Source organism: Homo sapiens, chromosome 20 (assembly GCF_000001405.40).
Source record: "Homo sapiens chromosome 20, GRCh38.p14 Primary Assembly".
Taxonomy (NCBI): domain Eukaryota; kingdom Metazoa; phylum Chordata; class Mammalia; order Primates; family Hominidae; genus Homo; species Homo sapiens.
This window is the reverse complement of record NC_000020.11, coordinates 28604623-28614299: the sequence shown is the minus strand read 5'-3', so window position 1 is coordinate 28614299 and position 9677 is coordinate 28604623. Positions and strand designations below refer to the sequence as shown.

General features: G+C 34.6%; 1 annotated feature.

Moving 5' to 3' along the window:
- Window positions 1–9677: part of a centromere (Linear centromere model derived predominantly from reads generated in PMID: 17803354. This region does not represent an actual centromere sequence, as long-range ordering of repeats and unmapped WGS contigs is not provided by the model. For details of model production, see http://arxiv.org/abs/1307.0035.) that runs on past both edges of the window.

Genomic DNA, 9677 nt, shown 5'->3' with positions numbered 1-9677 from the left:
ATAAAATCAGAGATGAAAAAGGATATACTATGATAGACTCTAGAGAAATATAAGGAATCATGAGTAAGTACTACAAACAATTATATGCCAATAAATTGAAAAACTTAGAAGAAAAACGTATGCTCTGGACACATATAACCTATCAAAATTGAAGAAAGAAGAAATAGAAAATGTGAACACACCAATGACAAATAATGAGACTGAAGGAGAGATTTAGGCTCTCAGTCAAGGAAAATTCACTTCACACAGTAGCTCACAACTGTAATCTCACAGTTTAGGAGCCCAAGGCAGGAAAATCACTAGAGGCCAGGAGTTCAAGATTAGCCTGGGCAACACAATGACACTCCATCTCTAAAAATAAAAATAAAAATTCCCCAGGTATAGTGGTGTGTACTTGTACTCAGGAGACTGAGGCAGGAGGATCACTTAAGACCAGGCGTTTGAGGCTGCAGTCAGCTATGACTGCACCACTGTATGCCAGCCTCAGTGATAGAGTGAGACTCTGTCTCTAAAAAAATAGAGGAAGAAAGAAAAGTTCACGACTTGGTGGTTTTCGCTGACAAATTCTACAAAACATTTAAAAAACTTATACAAATGTTTTACAAACTATTTCAAAAAAATGAAAAGGAGGGAACTCTTCCAAACTCATTCTATGAAGACAGCATTTCCTGATTCCAAAATGAGACAAGAACAGCAAATAAAAGAAAACTCCAGGCCTATATCATTGATAAACATAGATGCAAACATTCAAAACCAGCAGTTCTAGCAATGATAATTCAAAAGCACATTTAAAAGATTTTTCACCATAATCAAGTGGTATTTACATGGAGAGGTAAGGATAGTCTAATACATGTAAATCAATAAAATCTGATACATCACATTAAACAATGAAGGATAAAAAACATATAATCATTTCAATAGATGCAGAAAAGCATTTGACAAAATTAGACATCATTTTATGATCAAACCTTTTAACAAATTAGTTATAAAAGAACATAATAAAATAAAGATCATATGTGATAACCCACAGGCAACATTACACTGAATGGTGAAAACTTGAAAGTTTTGTCTCTAGGATCTGGAACAAGACAAGGATGTTCACTTTAATCACTTTTTTCAACATAGTACTAGAAGTCCTAGTCAGAACAATTAGGTAAGAGAAAGAAATAAAAGGCATCCAAATTGGAAAAAAAAAGTCAGATTGTCCCTCTTTGCAGATGACATGATCATATATGTAAAAAACCCTAAATACACCACTGAGAATCAGAAATAATAAATGAATATAATAAGGTTTCAGGATACAAAAGCAACATAAAAAATCAGTAACATCTCTATACACCAATAGCACACTATCTGAAAAAGGGATCAAGAAAGTAATCCCATTTAAAATAGCTATTAAAGAAACAAAATACCTACAAGTAAGTTAAGCCATGGAAAGATGAAAATTATTAAATATTGATAAAAACAATTAAAAAAATTAAAATAAATAGAAAGATATCCCATGTTCATGGACTAGAAGAATTAATATTGTTGAAATGACTATACTACTCGAATCAATCTACAAATACAATATAATCTCTATCAAATTTCCAATTTCATTCTTCACAGATATTAAAAAAAATCTTAAAACCCATGTGAAACTACAAAACACCCCAAATAGCCAAATAAATCTTAAGCAAAAAGAGCAATGCTAGAGGTATTACACTATCTAATTTCAAAATATATTACAAAGCTATCCTAACTAAAACAGCATGGTATTGGCATAAAAACAGGCATGTAGACCAGTGGAACAAAAATAGAGAGCCCAGGCATAAATCCACACATTTACATGCAACTTATTTTTGACAAAGGTGCAAACATTCAATGGGGGAAAGACAGTCTTTTCAACAAATGATGCTTGGAAAAGTTCATATCCCCATACAAAAGAATGAAAGTAGACCCTTATCTCTCATAATATACAAAAATCAACTCAAAATAAATTAAATGTTTAAATGTAAGACCCCAAACTATGAAACTAGTAGAAGAATACTTAAATGAAATGTTATATGTCATTGGTCTGGGCAAGGACTTTTTAGAAACACATCAAAAGACATGCACAACAAAACCAAAAATAAACAAATGGGATTACTCTAAATAAAAACTTCTGCACTGCATAGGAAACAATCACAAGAGTGAAGAGACAACCTACAAAATGGGAGAAAATATCTGCAAACTATTCACTTGATAAGGGGTTAATATCCCAAATTTATAGAAAACTCAAACAACTCAATAGCAAAAACACAAATAATTGGATTAGAAAATAGTCAAGAGAGTTGAATAGACATTTTTCCAAATAAGACAAAAAAATCACCAACAGGTATATGAAAAAATACTCACCATCACTAATAATCAGAGAAACGCAAGTCAAATCCACAGTGAGATATCATCTCACCCTGCTTAGAATGCTTTTTATGAAAAAGTCAAAAAATAACAAACGCTGGCAAGGATGTGAAGAAAGGAGAATGTTCATACACTGTTGGTGGAAATGTAAATTAGAGCAATTTCTACGGAAAACAATATAACTTCCAAAAACATTAAAAATAGACATCACATAATCCAGCAATCCCACTACTGGGTATATATTCAAAGAATATTAAATCAGTATGTCAAAGAGATTTCTGGACTCTCATGTTTATTACAGCACTATTCACAATAGCCAAGAATCAACCTAAGTGTCCAACAATGAATGAATCGATAAAGAAAATGTGGCATATATGCTGTATTTGGCCATTCTTGCATTGCTGTAAAGAAATACCTGAGATTGGATAATTTAAAAGAAAAGAGACATAATTGGTTCCTGGTTCCATGGGCTGCACAGGGAGCATAGTGTCAACATATGCTTGACTAGTCAGGAAGCTTGAGAACTCATTCACTATCATGAGGATAGCACCAAGTCATGAGGGATCCACCTCCATGACCTAAACACCCCCTACCAGGCCCCATCTCTAACAGTGGGGATTACAATATAACATGAGATATGGGTCAGGACAAATATCCAAACTATATCATATGCACATTTGGCCATAAAAAAGGATAAAATCGTGTCACTTGTGACAACATGAATGATCATAGAGGACATTGTGGTAAATGAAATAAGCTAACCACGGTAAGACAAATATCACATGATCTCATTCATATGTGAAATCTAAAAACACTGATCTAATAGAGAGTGGAAGAGTGGTTACCAGACTGGGAAAGATAGGGAGGAGAGGTTTTAACAATGTGTCAGATATCAAAATACCACATTGTACCCCATCAACATGTGAAATTATCATGTAACCACTTAATAAAAGAAAAGAAAAAAGAAAATGGAAGAGTCAAGATACTGGGGCACTGGAAGAGATAGAAGAGAAGGTGAATTGGCAGTAAGGAAGAGAGAGTCTGAAAGAGCATGTCACAGAGTGGAACATAAAAGTTTATAACATTAGAAATCAATTTTTAAGTTATTGAAAAGTTAAGTTTATAGCCATGAAAGTGAGTAGCTCAATTGAAGTGAAAGTAAAAGTCAATGAAAGATTAAATTAGAAAATATATTGCTTGGCATTCAGTAGTTACTTCAGAAATATTAATAAATCTTAAGAAAATTAAGAACACCAAAGCATTCATAGTGGACCATTATCATAATATGAATCTATGAGGTAATATTTTATTCTTTCCAGTGAAGGGAGTAATTCAACAGTCTTGATTATAGGTTAGAAAATGATTTCTCCAGGTGCGACCCACTGACCACATTCATTGTATTTGAATTGCTTGAGCAATTTGTTTCAGGAGAAAATGGAGAGATTTTAAGATGGACCAACGAAATTACCACTGAGTGTCTTTAATGGAAACCTCAGCCTTGTCTAGAATAACCTGGGTTATCTGTTTCTATAGGGTCTCTGTGTCTTTTGTTTTCCTTGTTATTTGCAATTCTGTTAGTTGTAGATTACTGATAGTAATGCAAATATTCTTGACTATAGACAGGCAAATGATTGATTTTGGTGGAAGTATAATTAATTTTCCTTTTTCCACCTTCCATCAAGAAGTCAGTTTTGAACCTATCAAGCAGATTTATTTCAGTGTTCCTTAGTGCCTAGATATGTGTGGCTCTTTTAATTTTCCATAAAGCTCAGTATAACATCTTACTGGCTCCCTAATTAAATAAATGAGTTAAACAAAAATCTTAGACAAGTGTTCATTTTATATTTGTAAGTTATAATTTACCCTATTTTAAGCAATTTTCCTTTATCATTCCTAAAAATACAGATTCCTATGCCCCATGCTTGACCTATTGAATCAAAATCTCAGGCCTAAGGCAGAAGAATTTGCATTGTTAGTAGGCTTTACAAATGATTTTTAGGCATACTAAATTGTATTAACCATTACCATTCTAATTCTTTAAACTTGAATTATTGTATTTATGATTCCATCTTCATCAAAGTAAACTTTTGGTTAGCAAAAAGGGTAGAAAGCCCCTTATTCAATCAGATTGGGACCAGTAATAAACAGATTAATCACAAATTTAAGTTAGATGGAGGAATCATAAGAAGTATTAGATGTAAGTCCTTAAAACTTAACTTTAATTTAAAAGACATGTGTAAATAAATTTGCCAGAATTTTGATGACAAGGTCAAAGCTTTGCACGGATTCAGAGTGGAGTTTCTTGTGGAAACTACGCCAATGATATGTTGTCATTGATTTCTTGTTCACTTTCTGTGAAGACAACTGGGGTAAAGCAATCTGAAATCCTAGATTACACAATTTTTCCCATTTGTTTCTAGTTGTCTTGCCAAGAACAGTTAAGCTGAGAGCAGCTGTTTGAGTTTCTCATTTTTCCAACACATTTAGTTTATTTCTCAAAGAAACAACAATACTACTGTTGTTATACTCATTTTCTCAGTTTACATAATATTTATTTATTTATTTATTTATTTATTTATTTATTTATTTATTTTGAGATGGAGTCTCGCTCTGTCACCCAGGCTGGAGTGCAGTGGTGCGATCTCTGCTCACTGCAAGCTCCACCTCCCGGGTTCATGCCATTCTCCCGCCTCAGCCTCCCCAGTAGCTGGGAGTACAGACACCTGCCACAACACACAGCTAATTTTTTTGTATTTTCAGTAGAGACAGGGTTTCACCGAGTTAGCCAGGATGGTCTCGATCTCCTGACCTAGTGATCCACCCGTCTCAGCCTCTCAACATAATATCTAATTAAATCACATAACTACAAGAACAAGAACAAATGGTGTAAACATATTTAGGAATGAACACAACTTCCTCTTAGAAACTATACAATTTCTGTGATGGAAGGAGAAATGTACAGGCATTAAAAGTAGCTCAAAGGTTTTCAGTTTGCAGTGGACATCAGTCAATAAGTTGTACAGGGGTAGCAGAAAGTGCTGATTGCAAATCAGTTAAGTGGAAGTCAGTTAAGGCAGCATCCACTGTATCTTAATTTGTGAAGTGAATGTTCTAAAACTGGGTTCACTTTTGCTATAAAGGACCAGATGATAAATATTTTAGGCTTTGCAAACCATACGGTCTCTATAGCAACCATTCAACTATACCATTGTAGCAGGAAAGCACCACAGATCCATGGATGTGCTCCAACAAAACTTTATTAAAACAGGCAGCTGGTCTGAGGGCCATGTATATATCTTCCTGTTTTCATACAATTTTCTAAGTTAGTAGTTCCCTGTCTTTTTAACAATCAAGGATTAATTTTAATCCTCTCCTCTGATTTTATGTTTCAAAAGCCTTAAGAAAAACCCACAAAATATATTTATTTTGTAATTTTGGGGGGGTTCTTATTTTACTAATAAGTAATCAATGATATATAAAGGATACCCACTAGGTCAGTATGAAATAATCAACATTATTAACTCTAATGAGTTAGTTCTGGATAGAAATAAAAAGTATTTAACTATATATATATAACTTAAAACCTGTATAGCTTTTTCTGGTGTAAATATATAACTTTTTTGAGATTTTTCAAGTATTAAGTACAACTTTTGGGAATCCTCACACCTGGCTCCCTATGATGACATTCAAGAATTCCTTAGGATTCTGGGAATCTTAGAATGAAAGTCACTGCTCTGTAGGAATGAATGAATGAATAAGAAAGGGAAGGAAGAAGAAAGAGCATGTTTACTAAATGTAAATTAATCATCAAGGAACGCTTATTTTATTAATAAATTTGTCAACTTTGGGTTGCCAAATCTAACAAGATACCAACATGGCATTCATGGTGATCACACCTCTAGTCAAATTTTATTTTAGTTCATTGACTATAGATTAATATCCTGAAATACTCAAAAATTCTGTCCTAATTCTGTGAATAATTCACTTATTAATCACCCTATACACTACTTAATGAATGGAATGGTGCTTGGAATAAAGATAATTACAGGGCTAAAAGGGTTTTCTCTAGAGGCAGGTTATAGGATTTTGATGTCTGACTGGAATAAAACAAAATTAATCAATATTTTCTGCAACCGGTGGCTTTTGAATTAGTCGTCTATTAATATCTATCAATCACTATAACCTCATTCCTATTTCCTCCATTCTTCTTTTTGCTATCATAAAAACTTGTCCACTTTTTTCCTGTTAGATCTATATGTTTCTCCTCTTTTCTTTTCATCCAAACAACTGGACATCAACTTAGTACAGATAGTGCAATTGATCTGAACCCTACAGAACTCACTGTTCCCATTTACATAACTTACATAACTGTCAAGCTGAAATCACTCTCAAAATTTTTTTAATTCAAAATTTTAATTTCATTTAATCATATTTATTTATTCATTAGTTAATTTATTTTGAAGATAATTTTAACTTGTATTTTACATTCAGGGGTATATGTGCCAGTTTGTTACATGGGTGTATCTCATAATGCTGACTTTTGGGGTATGAATGACTCCATCATCCAGATGCTGGTTTGGTATGTTTTGACTCTGTGTCCCCACCCAAATCTCATGTTGAATTGTAATTCCCAATGCAGGGGGAATGACCTGGTGGGAGGTGATTAGCTCATGAGGGCAGATTTTCCCCTTGCTGTTCTTAGATGGTAAGTGAGTTCTCATGAGATCTGATGGTTTAAACATATGGAACATCCCCCCTGGCTCACTTGGTCTCCTGCCGCCATGGTAGAATGTGCCTTGCTTCCCCCTTCACCTTCTGCCATGATTATAAGTTTCCTGAAGCCTCCCAGCCATGCTTCCTGTACAGCCTGTGGAACTGTGAGTCAGTTAAACCTCTTTTCTTTATAAATTACCCAGTCTCGGGTAGTTCTATACAACAGTGTGAGAACAGATTAATACATGAGCATAGTACCCAATAGTTAGTTCATCAAACCATGCCTTCCTCCTTCTCCCCTCTAGTAGTCCCGATGTTTATTCTTTCCATTTTTATGTCCGTAAGTACCCAGTGTTTAGCTCCCACTTATAAGTGAGATCATGTGGTATTTCGATTTGTATTCCTGCATTAATTTACTTAGGATAATGGCCTTCAGCTACATCCATGTTGCTTCAAAGGACATGATTTTGTTATTTTTATGGCTGCGTAGTATTCCATGGTGTGTGAAATGGTTTGGAAGGTGGCCCCTATAAATCTGATGGTGAAATGTAATCCTCAGTGTTGGAGGTGGGGCCTGGTAGGAGGTGTTTGGGTCATGGGGTTGGATCTCTCATGGCCTGATACCATCCTTGTGATAGCGAATTCTTTCAAGATCTGGTTTTGTAAGGGTGTGTGGTACTTAACCCCACTCCCATTCTCTCTTGCTCCTGCTCTGGCCATGTGATGTGCCTACTCCCTCTTTGCCTTCCATCATGAGTAAAAGCTCCCTGGAGACTCCATAAGCTCCATGCAGATGCCGTCACCATGCTTCCTGTACAGCCTGCAGAGCTATGAGCCAATTAAATCTCTTTTCTTATAAATTACCCAGTCTCAGGTCTTTCTTCATAGCAATGCAAGAATGGCCTAATAATACTGTGTGGATGTACCACATTTTATTGATCCAATCCACTGTTGATGGACACCTAGGCTGACTCCATGTCTTTGCTATTGTGAATAGTGCTGTGATGAACATGCAAGTGCATATGTCTTTTTGGTAGAATAACTGACTTTCTTTGGGTCATATACCAGTAATGCAATTGTTGGCTTGAAAGGTAATTCTATTTTAAATTCTTTGAGAAATTTCCAAACTGCTTTCAACAGTGGCTGAACTAATTTACATTCACACCAATTATGTATTAATGTTCCCTTTTCTCCACAGCGTCCCAAGATCTGTTGTTTTTTGATTTTTTAATAGTAGCTATTCTGACTGGTGTAGGATAGTATCTCGTTTTGGTTTTGATTTGCATTTCTCTCATGATTAGTGATGTTAAGCCTAATCATTGCCACCAGAAAACTGGGAGAATACAGTGTTGCTTGTCAAAATAAATTGTTTTACTTTGCTTTAAAAATAATCAATTGAGTAGTATATTTCTTCCAGCAAAATTAAGAAGTAAACATTTAGAAATGTATAGTACCTTGCTGTTAAGTCTTCACACAAGTATACCAATCGAACATAAAGGCCATCTTAAACTTTCATTTGAAATGAAAGACAATTTTTAAGAGGTTAAGGGCTAGTAATTTATTAAAGTCCTGAAGTTAAATTAGCTCAAGTAAATACAAAGACTTTCCTTTAATTAAAGCCTTTTAAATGAACACTTTAAAGCATAGTTGGTTTCTCCCTCAAATCTTGTCCAAAGCCACTGTTAACAACTCAGTATATCAAAGAAGGTTTCAGACATGATTATGAAGCTCCCTCAACTTATAATGTGCTATTTGCAACCTTAGATGGCTATCATTCTGGCTTTTCTACCTTTTAGCAACAATAAGCACACCCTTCCCATTTCTCCCCCACCCTGACTTACCCCTCTTTGCATTTAATATATAATTTTTTGCAGAGTGTTCTTACACATCTTTAACTGTAAATATGACAAAAGCACACCATATAGTACATGTGCCACACGTATAAATGTTGTATCTAGTCATACAATTTTCCTTTTAAAGAAGGAATATTTTATTTTCAAAAAGCAAAGACTCTAGGAATCTTTTCTAGCTGCCAGTCATAAAAACATAAATTCCTGGTTAGATTCCAAAATTTGCCTGACCATAAGAACCACTTGTGGTACTTGTCAAACACATGTATTCTGAGTCCCATCCGTGATCTTCTGAATCAGAATCAGCAGGTGAGAGGCCTGGGAATACACATTTTAAACAAACGTCCACAGTGATTACGATTAGTCAAGCTTGAAAAAAATGTCACTAGGATCTTTATGACTGAATAACCTCACAAACATAGGAAAGTTACTGGAGAAAAATATGAGCAGAATTTCAGAATTCTGCCCTTGCTGAAAGTGTTTGTTCCCTCCTCCTCTACTCATCAAGACCTGACTGTTTATGTAACTCCCCCAAACCATCAACACCTGGGAGGAGTTGAAAATGATTTTAATGAGGAAGAAAAGCTGATGTTTAATTTCAAAACTGACTGTGACAATAGAAGGGAGAGACATGAATTTATCTTGATTCTAACACAAAGCATTGTATTTGAGTCTACAAATGAAATTGGTTTCATTTTTATTTTTTGTAAGTTTTTGCCAAACTCTATGCATATA